Source organism: Homo sapiens, chromosome 5 (assembly GCF_000001405.40).
Source record: "Homo sapiens chromosome 5, GRCh38.p14 Primary Assembly".
NCBI classification, from domain to species: domain Eukaryota; kingdom Metazoa; phylum Chordata; class Mammalia; order Primates; family Hominidae; genus Homo; species Homo sapiens.
The window spans coordinates 141,785,724-141,800,825 of NC_000005.10; the positions used below are offsets into that span (position 1 = coordinate 141,785,724).

The window sequence follows — 15,102 nt, forward strand, 5'->3', positions numbered from 1 at the left end:
TGTACCCTCCTCACAGCGTTGTTATGAGGATCGTGCTGGACAATGTAGATAAAGGGCTGAAGACACTATAGATAAAGGCCAGTTCAAATTACCATCATCCCTCCCCACTCATTCCATTCCCTTCCAAGCTGATGACCTGGGCCTGGGGCTGCAGTTCTGGGAATACTGAACTTGTCCAGCAGGTTCTTGGCTTTCAGAGCTGCAGCAGGCAGCTTGCCCTCCAACCACAGTCAGGTGTACCTGTTGGTCTCTCTCAAGGCTCCAGCTGAAAGCCAGCTCTCCAGACCTTTATCTTGGATAGAATGGAGTGGTATGGCCCTTGCTGGACCCAAGGTCAGACGTAGGGGTCAGAGAGGGCTGCCTCGTGGTCTCGGGGACAGAAGATCTTGGGCCAGGCTTGTGATCTGAGACCTGAGAAGTGGCATGGCTGCTGGGGCAGCTACCATTTAGGGAGAACCCGAGTCCCAGGCAGCTTACATCCCCTATCACACCCCTGGCTGGGGTAAATACTGTTATTGGTTCTGTCTACCGATAACAAACCCAAGGCTCCGTCTTGTGCCTAAAGTCATTGAGCTGGTAAGTGGAAAAGCTGAGATCTGAACCCAGATCTGCATGATTCCAAGGTTCCTGTAGTGCCCAGTATGTGACACCACCTCCCTAAAGCATCATCATGATCGTTGAGCACTTGGTGAGGGCCGGGTTGTGAGCTAAGCACTCTATATGTTTTTTCTCTTTTAACCTCCACAGTCGCTCTCTAAGATAGATACTATTATTATTGTTCCCATCTTACAGGGAGGGAAATCACCAGGCAGAAAGGCTAAGGACCTAAAGTAACTTAGCTTGGCTCTTTCACTATTACATCCGGGGTCTGGGGGAAGTAACTTTCCCAATTATTAATCTTCCATGATGATGCTTTACCTCCAAGTACCCCTCTGCCTCACCCATGTCTGCAACCGTTACTTCTTTTGGGGGGGTCTCCTTACCCCACCCATGCTCCCATTCTGGCTCCTCTGAACCTGAGTGCAGGATTGCAGATGTAGGCCCCACTCCCACCTCCAAACAACAAACTGCCCTTCCCACTGCCTCCAGGCCCACTGGGAATCTGCCCCTAATTGCATCTCAGGCTGGGAGGCTATTAGCCTGTGATTGCATCCCCAGTGCCTGCCTTGCCCCCCGGGTCTTCACTGTCAGCTTCCACAGGGGTTTGAGATGACGTCAACAACCCCCAATCCCAGGGCCTGGCCAGCTCTGCTCCCCAACACCCCCACCATCCAGTTCTAGGTGGGCTCCTCCAGGGAGCTGGGCCTTTTCACTGTGGGCCAGCCAAGAACATGGGCCTGAGGAGGGTGCCCAGCCATGAATCACAGCACACGCATGTCTGCACACACATCACTGGCCCTGCTGTTGCGGGATCCTCCCACTGAACCTCTCCCCACTGCAACCCCTCTACACCTCCTGCCATCTGCCTCCCCTCCACCATGGGAGGACAAGGGTCTGGGGTTAGGACTCCTGGGTTCTTTTCCTGGTTCAGATACTCCCTCTGTATGACCTTGGCCAAGTCCCTTCCACTGTCTGGGCCTCAAAAATAGAGAATTCTTCCAGGCGTGGGGGCACATGCCTGTAGTCCTAGCTATTTGGGAGGCAGAGGCAGGAGGGTCGCTTGAGTCTAGGAGTTCAAGGCAAGCCTGGGCAACATAGTGAGACTCTCTCTTTAAAAAAAAAAAAAAAAAAAAAGTGAGGGGGATTGGGATTCGTTTCAGTTTTCTCTATGCTTCTACTAGCAGAAAAGAAAGATTACCATTGGGTAATTCCTGGGGTTTTCTTCCACCAATATCTAATGAGTCCTAGGCACCATGCCAGGCATTAAGGATTCTAGCAAGGCAAGTTCCTGCCCTGAGAGTTACAACACAAAGTGATCAGGGCTAGGATGGAGGAAGCACAGGCAATGACAGTAGGGGTTGGGGGTGCCAGCAGTGGCCCTGGGGTACCTACCCAAAGGAGAAACGTTATCTAGCTTGCAGGTATAGTCTGAGAAAGCTTTCTAGTTTCTGAGACCTAAAGGATGAGGAAGAATTAGCCATATAAACAAGGATAAGGTGTGGGGCTGGACATGGAGAATGTTCTAAGCAGAAGGAACAGGACTGAGAAGAAGCCTGGAGGCTTTGGTGTCGAGAGCAGAGGCTGGAGGGTTGACAGAGGCTGGCTTGAGAGCTTGGACTTTATTCTGAGGGCATTGAAGAACTACAGAAAGATTTTAGGTAGGAGGGTGATAGGGCTGCCGTTTGGAGGGAGGATTGGGGCCCAGAGAGGAGAGAGAGAGAGACCTTCAGGGAGGCTACCAACCATCTGTCTTACCTCCCCCAAGTGTGGGAACAGTCCCTCCTGTCTGTCTGTGTTAGAAGGGGAGGCTAGGCTTTGCTTCCTCTCCTTTCCCTCTACACCCCCACACTTCCCTCTCCTAAAGCTTACACACACACACACTCTCATACACATGTGCGTGCATACACACATGACCTGCTGCAGATCCTCTGGAGGGGAAAGGGCAGAGGTGGCTTTGGGGAGGCGACACAGAGCCATCTGCCCCAAGGGAGCTAGAAGAGAAGGGGTCTGGAGGTTTGATACCCAACTGAAGCTCCACTAGGGAGAGCACACTCCCTGCCACTTGGTGCAGTGACACCTTTCCCTTCTCCCCTCTACCCTAACAGGTTAATCCCATCCTGAGCCACGGAAACTGGAGCTGGGAGTTTCACCACCTTATCACCACCAGAGAGCCTCCAAGATCCTCCTTCCCCTCCTTCTCTCTCCTACTTCTCCCACCTCCTCCTTTTTCTCCTAGGTGCGCTCTAACTCCCTGCCTCCCTTCTACCAGGGCTCATCAGAGCCTGAAACATGCTGTGTGTGCATCTGTGTATGGATGTATGCGTTAGGGGGCATGGTATGTGTGCAAGAAGCACAAGGAGGTGCCCACCAGCCACCATCGGGAGATGCGCCAGAGGGCTGTGCAAGGCTGAAAGGGATTTCAGGAGGATTCAGAGATTAGAGAATTAAACATCCTGCTACAGCCTCCCTTGAGCCTGGAATCCTTGTGGCTCCAGCTGCATAGAGAGCTCAGCTGGGCCAAGCCAGAGTTGCAGGGGATTCCTGGGCTCCTTCTCTTTACCCTGCCTCCTGCTCCCCAAGGCTCCCTCAAGCCCCTTCCCAGACAGGGACCTGGGCCACAAGACGCCTCCACCCCAGGGTCCAGATGTGCAAACCTCCCCTCAACCCATGTGCCTCTTCCAGGCACCCTCCAGGGGTGGAGTGCGCAAGCCAGACTCTTCAGCCAGCAATCATCAGAATTCCAGCCCTGGCCACAATCACTCCTGGAAGGCACATGTCCATTTTTCTCCATCTCTGCAGCCCAGGCCCATTGACCTCCTCACTCCCCACCCTCACCCCTCTCCCTTCCAGTCCCTGCACTGAAACCAGGCAGATGTTTCTATAAGAACACCCATGTCACTGCTCTCCTCAGTGTCCTACAGTGGCTCCACACTGCCCTCAGGATAAAAGCCAAACTCCTCCACTCTGGCCTCAGCTCCCATTGCACAAGGTCCTGGGGTCCCTGCTTGCTCTCCCCTCCAGGCCTGGGCGCTGATGGTCTCTACTCTCAGAGTCTCCGTCACTCATTATCTCCAGGCAAATCTCTCTCTGTTCCTCAGGTCTCAATTCAGAAGTCAGCTCCTGTTGGAAGCCTCTGACTACCACTGAGGCACACCCTTTATGGGTGTGGGTTGTCATGGCCCCCAGGACTTAGCCTGCCATAGCACTGACCACACTGTACTGTAAATAAATGCCTGCTGAACATATTCAGCCTCGACACCACTATATCAATAAAAACTCAATCATGTATTCCAAGTGTATGAAGAAAGGAATGAGGCAGGAGAGAGGCGGGGTGGCAGTACCGTGCTGCAGACTTCAAGTGCCAAAGACACTACTGCATTTATAATAGTTGCAGCTATTATTGATTGTGTGCCAAGTCCACACCAGCCACTCTGCTAAGCATGATCTCATTTCATTCCCCCAGCAACCTTGAGAGAGAGGCATGATTGCTATCATTCCCATTTTATAGATAAGGAAACTGAGGCTCGGAAGGATTAATTTACCCAAGGTTATACAGCCAGAAGGAGGTCCAGGCTAGATCTTCCTAAAGGCTGGGGTAGGGGCTTTAAGGTGGGTAAAATGCAGCCCACTGAAAAGGCCATGTATCACCTCTAGATTCTCAGCAGGCCTGGAGAAGAAATCACTAGAGTACCCCATCTTCCCCTCACACCAGGAGAAGTTCTGCTTCTCTGGCTACCTGGTATGAGGTTCCTGAGGACCTAGGGGGAAAGTGTATGACCCCACCCTGGAAGCTTCCAGGAGGAGTAAGAGAAGCAAGTCCCTCGTGACGTCCTTGTTCCCACTAGTGTCTCTTTCCGAAGCAGGATTCTGACAAGTCCGGAGTACGTCCCCTCATCATCAGGGCAGGAGGTAACGTGCTGAATTTAATAGCAAAGCAAATTTTGCTGGAGAAGAAATGAGATTTCTTTGTCAAGGTGAGTGTGTCTGGGAGAGCCAGGAACAGGGTGGAGTTGGGGGATGGGGGCACTTTGGAGGGGCTGCAAAAGGGGAGTGTGGATCTGGAATTATTAGAATGTTGATTATGTCCTCTTGATTGTTAATGAAATTCTTCACCTTGGGTTTCTGGACCAGGGGGAAAGCTCCCAGAGCTCATTTTGCAGCTGATGAGAGCAAGAGAGAGGGCAGGAGGGGGCAGAAGACTCTCGGCTTAGGGAGAAATTAAATTCCTCCTAAACAAATGGAACTGGACAAGTCTGACCACCACCATGTGAAGGCAGAGCCCTAGGCTGACCTGAAGTCCCCTGTGGAAATGGGATGGAGACCCCTGGCTGGGTAGGGAGTGGCCAAGAGGCTTGACTCAGGCAGCAGAGTGCAGCTCCAATAATAATAGCTGACATTACTGAGTACCTTCCATGTAGCCAGAGCAAATGAATGTGCATGTATTATCTCATTTAATCCTCCCAACAACTCTTGCAGGTAGGTAGTATGATCGTTCCCATTCTGCAGATGACAACACTGAGGCACAGAGAGGACTGAAGCTTGTCCAAGCTCCCACAGCTGGAAAGTGGAGGTGCCAGTCTTTCAGCCCAGGCAGCCTGCACCAGCACCTATCCTTTGAGATTTGAAAGACGCTCCAGCTCTCCTACTTTCTTTTCTTTCTTTTTTTTTTAAGACAGTATTTCTCTTGCTCTGTTACCCGGGCTGGAATGCAGTGATGTGATTGTGGCTCACTGCAGCCTCAAACTCCTGGGCTCAAGCAATCTTCCCACTCATCTTCCAGAGTAGCAGGGACTACAGGTGTGTGCTACCATACCTGGCTAATTTTTTTATTTTTAATAAGTCAGGGTCTTGCCATGTTGCCCAGGCTGACCTCAAACTCCTGGCCTCAAGCGATCCTCCCACCTCAGCCTCCCAAAGTGCTGGGATTACAGGCATGAGGCACTAGGCCCGGGCTCTCCCACTTTCTTCACTACCTCCCTGAGCCTCAACTGCGTCATCTGTAACATGGGGCCAGTAATCGTTGTCAACATGAAGAGCTGTTGTTAGGAGCCAATGAAATAAAAATAAATTTAAAACAACTTAGTACAGAAATAGCATTCCCTTTGAAGCCTTGCTCTCTGCCTTCCAAAATGGGAAGTGTCCCTTCTTATCCGGCTGGTTGAGGACCTATGACACAGAGGTGCTGTTCTAGGCACTGGGAATAGAACAGTGAACAAAATGAACAAAAATCCCTGCCCTTGTGGAACTTACAATTAGTGGGAGACAGACCATAAACAAGACAAATAAGTACATTATAACCTATATTAGAGAAGGTAAATACAATAGAACAAAACGAGGCAACAGAGGAGGGGTTGGAGCACTGATTGGGAAGGGCTGCAGTTCAAACAGGGCAGTCTGAGTTGGTCTCACCAAGAAAGTGACTTGAAGGAAGCAAAAGAGTGAGCAAATATTCAGGATAACAGCACTGCTCAGGAAGAGGAAACAGCAGTGCAAAGGCTCTGAGGTGGGACTGCACTGTTCGTGTTACAGGAACAGTAAGGAGGCCAGAGTAGCTGTGTTAGCAAAGGTAGCATAGTAGGAATTGGAGTCACAAATTCCAGAGGAAGTGCAGCTAGTGTAGGGTCTTGATGGTCTTTGTAAGGACTTTTAGCTTTTATCTGAATGAGACAAGAATCTATCAGAGGGTTTTAGGCATGATCTGATTGATGTTTTAAAGGTATAGCTGGGACAGCGGTATTGAGACTAGACTATAGGGGGCCAAGGGCAGAAGCAGAGAGGAGAGTTAGGAAGCTATTGCAAAAACCCAGGTGAGAGTAGGTGGCAGCTTAGTTCAGGGAGGTAGTGACACAGATGATGCTGAAGTCTGATTCTGGATGTATTGCGAAAGGGAAAGCCCCCAGGATGAGCTGATCATCAAAAGTGAGGAATGGGAGAAAGAAGCAATCACCGCGGATGATTCTGAGGATTTTACCCCTTCCACCTCTCAATTCCTGAAGACCCATCCCTTCCTTTTAAAATCCAACTCTGGCCGGGCATGCTGGCTCACGCCTGTAATCCCAGCACTTTGGAAGGCCAAGACGGGCAGATCACGAGGTCAAGAGATCGAGACCATCCTGGCCAATGTGGTGAAACCCCATCTTTACCAAAAATACAAAAATTAGCCGGGCGCGGTGGTGCACACCTGTAGTCCCAGCTACTCAGGAGGCTGGGGCAGGAGAATCACTAGAAGCTGGGAGGCAGAGGTTGCAGTAGCCGAGGTTGAGCCATTGCATTCCAGCCTGGCGACAGAGCAAGGCTCCGTCTCAAAAAAAAAAAAAAAAAAAATTCCAGCCCCCTCTCTCGGGGCTCTATTGGAGATCCACTGCTTTCATCCCTCTCTCTTTCCATTGTCCAGGCATTTGCCTTACAGAGCCCAGGGCAGAGGACCCTGGTCAAACAACTTGACCCAGGGTATAAATCTGCCTCATGGCCTTCTGGGGCTCCCCCAGTCCTTACCCTGGCTCAGAAGGTCCCATCACAGTCTGCCGTCCACCTCAGCAGCCCCTCAAGGTCCCTTGCTCCTCCTGACTGCAGTACCCCTTTTCTCGCTCCCTGGAACTGCCTCTGCTCTTCTATCTCACACAGCTGCCCACCATGCTGCCCTCAGGTCTCAGTGGGAGCATCACCACCCCTGGGAAACCTTCCCTGACCTGCTATTCTGGAGGAAGCCCCTGATTCCAGGCTCTCAAGCCCTGAGCCTCTACCACAGGGTTGCGTGTCTCTTTCCTTGTGTGATTATTTGATGAAAGCCTGTCTCCCCACGTGACTATAACCTCCATAAAGGCAGGGCCCACCTGTATCGCTAGAAGCAGACAATTCACCAAAAGAGACATTCAGTGGATCTGACTTGGATCCTTAGGCTTTTGGTAAATTAACTTTCATTGACCTAAAGCCTCCAGCTGCTAGGTAAATGTCTGGCACATAGCAGGTACTTCACATATATTTATTGAAGGAATGAATCAGAGTTCTCTAAGATCTTGGGCATGTGACAAACTTCCTGAGCCTCAGTTTCCCCATATGTAAGGATGGGAATAAGAATACCTATCTCATGAGTCATTGTGAGAATTAAAAAACCTACGGCATGAGCAATGCCTCACACTAGTAGATGCTCAATAATTGTTCCAATGCATGTTCAGACAATTACCACCTTACAACTCCCCTGTGCTTCCCCTCCCCTCCCCCACTCCCTCTCATCCCTCCTTCCATTCTCCAGCCTCCTCCCCTCCCCACCCTTCCCCTCCTAAGGACTCCCAGATGTGGAATCACCAAAGCCTCTGAACGTTCCCCTTCTCCCCCAAGATCCCCCAATGCGCCACTGGTTACATATTGATCCTGTTTAACTTTCCCAATGGATGATAAACATGAAATTAAAATGACTTCCTGGAATATTAATGTAGTAAATGGCCCTATTAAAAGAAAGAAAATACAGCTGAGAAAATTCGCTTTGATGTAGCGTTTCTGCAGGAGGCTCATTTATCTGCAGCTCAGACTCTCAAAATGAGATTCTGAAGGTTTCTCTGATGTCTCTTATTTTTCCCTCACCCAGAATTTAAACAGAAAATAGAATCACAAGCTAGTGTCATAAAACGTGGGCCTTTTCCCTTCTCCACCAAAAAGCAAATGAAAACAGGGCCAGGTTGATGTCAGTCTCTGCAAACATGGGGCTGAGGACTCACCTGCTCCTCCCAATCTCCTCTGTATCTTGCTCACTGGGGCCTGGTCCAGGCTGCCAGGCCGGCTGCCTAGATTCAGCAGGGGTTCCCAGAAGCCTGTGCTGCTACTGCTGCTGCTGAAGTTAGGAAAGTTGCCTCAGAGCTGGGTGCAGTGGCTCACGTCTGTAATCCCAACACTTTGGGAGCCTGAGGCAGGTGGATTATCTGAGGTCAGGAGTTCGAGACCAGCCTGACCAACATGGTGAAACCCTGTCTCTACTAAAAATACAAAAAAAAAAAAAGCTGGGCCTGGTGGCAGGTGCCTGTAATCCCAGCTACTCAGGAGGCTGAGGCAGGAGAATCGCTTGAACCTGGGAGGTAGAGGTTGTAGTGAGCCGAGATTGTGCCACCGCACTCCAGCCTGGGTGACAGAGCATGACTCCGTCTCAAATAAATAAATACAAATTTTAAAATAAAATGTAAAAAAGGAAAGGTGACTCAGGACCCCAGGAGGCTGTGCCCCAATGTGGGTAAATACTGTAGGTTTGGTGGACTTGAAATCTCGGTTCTCTCACTTGTTAGCTATATGTTCCTAAAGTACTGCACCTCTCTGGGCCTTGGTTTTCTCATCTGTAAAATGAGGATATGAGTGCCTCGCTCACAAAGCAGTTAAGAAAAGTAAATGAGATCATATAGCTTGCATGTGTCAGGTGCTCAGTATTGTAATCATTTGTTACCATTATTACAAATGATAACTCATGTTGTTACTATAATCATTGAGGCCTAAGCAGAGAAAAGAAGTTTTTCTGACCCCTAGGCTGGGTCATGTGCTGCCTCTGGGTGACCATAGCCCTGAGCTTCTCCCATCCCAGGCTGGTGACTTCCCTGCCTCTTCCAGCAGCCTGCTTATTCCATGAAGGCCGGCCTGGGTCTTGCTCATAATCATGTCCCAGCAACACATGGCAGAATTTAAATGTCTTGGAGTCAGAGCCAAGGTGCTCTGGGTGATATCCTATCCCCACCTGGCATGGTTGTGACCTAGGGTCCTTCCATGCAGCCATAAGAGCTCCAAATGCCCAGCTTGGCAACAGCTATCCATCCACCTTCCGCAGACCTCAGGTCCCTTGTCTGCACCTTCCCTAGGTCTCACCTTGATTCTGTTATGCCCATTCCTTCCTCCCTAGGCTCAGAGAGGTGGCAGACAGAGCATTCAGATAAGGTCCTCTGGGATTAACTCTTCCTTTCTTTCCCCCTTCTCTCATCTGACTTCCAGCTTCCCCCTCTCCACAGCAACTTCTGCTGACATCCTCAGTCTCCCTCACCTGGGTTTGGCCCTGTGGGCAGGTAGAGGGGTACTGCATGCCTATTGCCTGGGCTGACTCTCCTGGGTGCTGCTGGATAAGCCTAAGGTGGGCCCACAACTTCCCTAGCCACATTCCTGTTACCTGCAATTCAGGCTCTTTTTGCCCTTCCCCACTGCCAGAAGGGGCTCAGGACCTTTTCTGCTCCTCCTGGGCAGCCAGGACCCTGCCATAGTGCTTCTGAACCATTCGCAGTCCAGCCCCAGCCTCGTGCGTATGCACACAGAGTCGCCCTCAGATCCGCAGTCACAGGATCTCTGTTCTCCACAGCCAAAGGCAAGAAAGAAGAGGACCCCCTGTGGACAAGGGGCAGGGGCAGGGGCAGAAGGCTTTGGAAGATCAGCTTGCCTCCTGGGGGCACTGTCCCCTAGAGACCCCTCCCCAGCCAGCCCATGGCCCCCTAGCAGGAAAATAAGAAGTTGGAGCAGAGGGGTTAATTTGGGGAAAAGCAGCAGCTGCTTGAAACAGAGAGGGTAGGCCCAAGGCAAGAGCTGCTCCTGCTGAGGTAATGATTGTGAGGGATGCTAGAGCTGGGGCCACCCACAAGCCCCCCAAACGCACTCACCCCCAGGCAAGTTATCTGCTTGGACACCCCCCCACACACACACATAAAGAAGCATCATAATCATCTGGGCATAAGACGCAGTCCCTTCCACACAATTACACAAGCGCTGCAGTCCCTCCCTGTGTTTGAGGATAAAACTTTTTTTTTTTTTTTTTGAGACAGAGTCTCACTCTTGTGGCTCAGGCTGGAGTGCAGTGGCGCAATCTCAGCTCACTGCAACTTCTGCCTCCCGGGTTCAAGCGATTCTCCTGCCTCAGCCTCCTGAGTAGCTGGGATTACAGGTGCCTGCCACCATGCCCGGCTAATTTTTGTACTCAGTAGAGACGGGGTTTCGCCATGTTGGCCAGGCTGGTCTCAAACTCCTGACCTCAGATGATCCACCCGCCTCAGCCTCTCAAAGAGCTGGGATTACAGGCGTGAGCCACTGCACCCGGCCTGAGGATAAAACTCTTTGGAGATTTCAGAGATGAGAGCTGCAGGAAGCCCTGGAACTCAGAAGCCCGAAAACACACACACATATAGCTACACCTTTTTCCAGTCTCTGTATCAGGATATCAGTCTCTGTTCAGCACGCCAAGGTGACCCCCATCACTGTACAAGGGCAGAGGACCCCTCCCTGTGAAAGTGAGAGTTGGGAGCTGGCTGCCTTTAGACCTGCTGGCGTCTCCTTATTCCTGGAAAATACACGTTATATAACATCACACACAATAAAACACAACCAGGTCCCACATTACCTATGACTTGTATATAGCCCTGTGAGCAGCTCTGCAGTTGGCATAATGTTAGGTTTTTGTAGGCATTTAATTAAGCATTTGTGGCTTGTATTTCTTCATGTGAGTTCTGGTTGTATTTGAGGTCATTGAAAATTGTCAGCAGAACCCTCAAAAGCCTTTAGGGCTTGGGTCTTGGGTTTATGATGAGTGATGGATAACAGGACCCTAGTGAAAGGGGTGGTTGGGGGAATGTTGCCACTGGGAGCCCAAGTCCGCTTTGGTGACAGCAAGCATGGATAAGCCGGGGACTCACGGGCAGGACACACTCTGAGGTCCTAACTCGATTGCCACCAGTTACCATCTCTCTTGGAGCCAGAGAGAAATCAAAGTGAGCTGCGGGCCCAGCAGCCCCTACACTAAGACGCAGACTTTACCTGTACGATACTGACCCAAAGACCACACCTGAACACTGTGTGCAGGCACCAACACAAAAATACACACAGGCCCCAGCACACACACTCTGATATGCACATCCTCAATGCCTGGACACATACCCCAACTAATAGCCATTACCCCAACACCTAGGCACACACTTGGACACACTCCCCAGCAGACCAGCTCACCCCACATCCCCCAACACAGATATCCACACACAGTGGCACAGAGGTACCCCTTGGGCAAAGCTACAGATGGCCACCCATTCCGTCACTTGTGTCCGCACATCAAGACATACCAGGCATATAATTACAGATACCCACATTTGAACACCCTCCCTCCTGCTTCTTCTCACACCCACCCACACATGCTCCCTGCCCTGTCATGGGGAGACAGAGCATCTCAGCCCCAAAGAGCCCAAGGGTCCTGATTAACAGGAAATTCTACGAATGCCAATTAGAGCAAAGTTTACTGAACAAATTGTTTGCAGTTGTGCCCCAGAACCATCATGAATTTTAATCTTGCATTGATTTGCACTTATGTGAGGTTTGCAGATGGCAGGGCCTTTGGTGCCTCCTGCCCCTCCCACCCATCTGGGAGGAGTCATCACCCAGCCTCAGATGCAGGAGCTCTGGGGGCAGCCTTCAGCCTCTACTAGTCCAGAGGCCAGCACCACCAGCCCAATTGGGAGACTCAAGATGCCCAGAAGATGGGCAAGAGTTTTGGAAACATACATGTTATGGATGAAGAAGACCCTATGTTTTCTTTCTTTCTTTGACATGGAGTCTCATTCTGTGGCCCAGGCTGGAGTGCAGTGGCGTGATCTCGGCTCACTGCAACCTCTGCAACCTCTACCTCCTGGCTCAAGAAATTCTCCTGCATCAGCCTCCCGAGTAGCTGGGACTACAGGTGCGCATCACCATGCTCGGCTAATTTTTGTATTTTTAGCAGAGATGGGGGTTTCACTATGTTGGCCAGGCTGATCTCAAACTCCTGACCTCAAGTGATCCCCCTGCCTCAGCCTCCCAAAGTGCTGGGATTACAGGTGTGAGTCATCGTGCCTGGCCAGACCCGAAATTTTCAAGAACACCAGTAATCTGGGGAAAGGGCTGGAGGCCTGGAGCCTCTTGCTTTGGAAACAAAAGCAAGATCACAATGTGGCAGAGATACGTAGAGTCGGGCACAGATGTTGTAATAGTTCTACTACTGCCTCAACCAACATAACTGCCAGTATGTTTATAATTGCAGTCCAAAGGACCTCTTCCAAAATTGATTTGTCTTCCTCTCCCTTCCACCAAACCCTTTTCTCAAACACTTCCGTAGTCTCCTGTTACTTAAAAAAAAATCCAGCCGGGCACGGTGGCTCACACCTGTAATCCTAGCACTTTGGGAGGTCGAGGCGGGCAGATCACCCAAGGTCAGAAGTTCGAGACCAGCCTGGCCAACATGGCGAAACCCCATCTTTACTAAAAATACAAAAATGAGCTGGGCGTGGTGGTGCGTGCATGTAATCCCAGGTACTCGGGAGGCTGAGGTAGGAGAATCGCTTGAGCCTGGGAGGCAGAGGTTGCAGTGAGCCAAGATCACACCACTGCACTCCAGCCTGGGCCACAGAATGAGGCTCCATCTCAAAAATAAATAAATAAAAATTAAAAATCCTTGCCTGATCTTCACCCCACCCCCAATCATCTCACCCATACCTCCTCCTCTCACTCCTGCCCCTCTTATCCATCCACTGTCAGCCCCTGGTAGGAGCCGTGCTTCCTTCAAGCCTCAGGGCTCTTGCACATTCTATTCCTGTCTGGAAGAGTTTACCTAGTTAACCTGTACTCATCCTTCAGGCCTCAGTTCGAGTGTCACGTCCTCAGGGAAGCTTTTTTTGACCCCCTACCTAGATCAACACTCCCTGCCATGAAATGCTCTCATGGCCCTCTTATCATTAGAGAATCAAATCCATGAGGGCAGGAACTGTATCTGGCTTTGTTCACCACTGTATCCACAGGACTTAGCATAGGGCCTGGCATATAGTAGGTGCTCTGTATTAATTAGCTTTTGCCACAGTAATGCTGTATAACAAACCACCCAGAAAGTCAGGGTCATACAGCAGTCAATAAGTATTTTTTCCTGCAGGTTGACTGGATTTTGGTTGATCTAAACTGGGTTCAGCTGGGCTTGGTTCCAACCTGTGAACTGGGTGCAGGTCTGCGCCCCCATCTCTCATCCTTATTGAACTAGCAGCTACCTGAGGCATGTTCTATAAAAGACAGGAATGCAAAAGAGCATGCCCGACTATGCCAGCTCCCCCTTGGCCAAAGAAGGTGCTGATGCCCTGGCAAGGGCATGGAAGTGGTGGAAGCAGTGAAGAATTAGGACCAGTTGAATCTATCACAGGCCCAATAAATATCTGTGGTGTGGAATTGAATACTTGCTCTGTGCTAGGCATTGTACTAAGCACTTTACATGCACTAATTCATTTAATCCTCAAGTCAACCCTCTAAGTATTATTAACCCAATTTTTAAAAAGTAGTTTAATTGAAAAAATAAAATCTTCACAAAGTAAACAACTCAAATAGTACCAGCCGTACTCAATGAAGAGTAACTCTTCTTCCTACTCCAACCACAGCCCTACTCCACAAAGAAGCAGTGTTTCCGTTATTTTGTGGACTTTCTGATATAGTCTATGATATGCAAGCCCCGCCCCCGCCCCGCCACATAGAGATATCCCTTTTTAATCATTTGGTTTGCTTCATACTATATTAAAACGGTTCTGCATCTTGGTTTCATTTTGTTTTCAAAGAATAATATATATTGGAGCTCCTTCCTTATCAATCAAATTGATCTACATTATTTTTCACTTATTTCCATTTTACAGATGAGGAAACTGAGGCTTAGAGAAGTTAAGAGACCTATACCAGGTATTGCAGCTCAAAAGAGTCAGGGCTGGGATTGAAGTTTACATCTTCCTGACTTCAGAGCCTGTGTTCATAGTCACTCTGCTTTACTGACATGGCTGGGGGACCCACAGGGTCCCCAGCATGGGCAGAGTAGACCTAGACAAAAACGTCTGAGCTCCAGCTGGGCGTCCTCTCTGGGATGAGGGATAGCAGTGGGAACTCTCATGGTGCTGGGTCCACCCAGGGTCTGCTGGAACCACCACCAGCGCTGGGAAGTGCCTTGGCCCCGGCCTTTGCCCTCAGACCACCCACCCTTCTTGGTGCCCCAGCACTAACTGTAGTGATATGAATGAATAAATGATAATGAATCAATGATATCAGGTCCACAGTATCTTAGAGGGCTGGATGTTTTGGAATTTCTTAAAAGACATATTAATAATATCTCCCCCAATGCGACAAGCCTCATCTTCCCCTCTACTCCCTTGTGGAAGAGGAAAATGTCTTAGGCAGGAAACCTGCCCTCATCCCTAGCTGTCTTTAACTTAGTTTATGCCTTTGGGCAAGCCACTTGCCCCTATTTGTGAAGGGGAATCATAATTCAGAGAAAAGAGGAGAGGGCCTACTGAAACTGCAACCGTGTGGCAGAGTGTCTGGTGTAGATGCTGACTTGGAGGCATGGTCAGGGTGCTCTGATCCTTGTGCCTGGGCTGGGACTCACCGGGAATCCACAGGAACAAGCCAGAATTCAGCCTCCTTCCGTGGAGCTGGCAGCTGTGCGATGGGGGACAGTGCAGTATGGTGGCTCATAGCCTGCCTCCGCCTCTTACTAACTCTGGGGCCTGG

General features: G+C 50.2%; 3 annotated features.

Annotated features, from left to right (window-relative positions):
• Positions 778-1,278: an enhancer, noted in NCBI's record as "H3K4me1 hESC enhancer chr5:141166068-141166568 (GRCh37/hg19 assembly coordinates)". NCBI's record gives its function as "activates a minimal SCP1, AML or CMV promoter by ChIP-STARR-seq in primed H9 embryonic stem cells {active_cell/tissue: H9 hESC(primed)}" and the evidence as "EXISTENCE:reporter gene assay evidence [ECO:0000049][PMID:30033119]".
• Positions 1,279-1,779: an enhancer, noted in NCBI's record as "H3K4me1 hESC enhancer chr5:141166569-141167069 (GRCh37/hg19 assembly coordinates)". NCBI's record gives its function as "activates a minimal SCP1, AML or CMV promoter by ChIP-STARR-seq in primed H9 embryonic stem cells {active_cell/tissue: H9 hESC(primed)}" and the evidence as "EXISTENCE:reporter gene assay evidence [ECO:0000049][PMID:30033119]".
• Positions 9,413-9,914: an enhancer, noted in NCBI's record as "H3K4me1 hESC enhancer chr5:141174703-141175204 (GRCh37/hg19 assembly coordinates)". NCBI's record gives its function as "activates a minimal SCP1, AML or CMV promoter by ChIP-STARR-seq in naive and primed H9 embryonic stem cells {active_cell/tissue: H9 hESC(naive and primed)}" and the evidence as "EXISTENCE:reporter gene assay evidence [ECO:0000049][PMID:30033119]".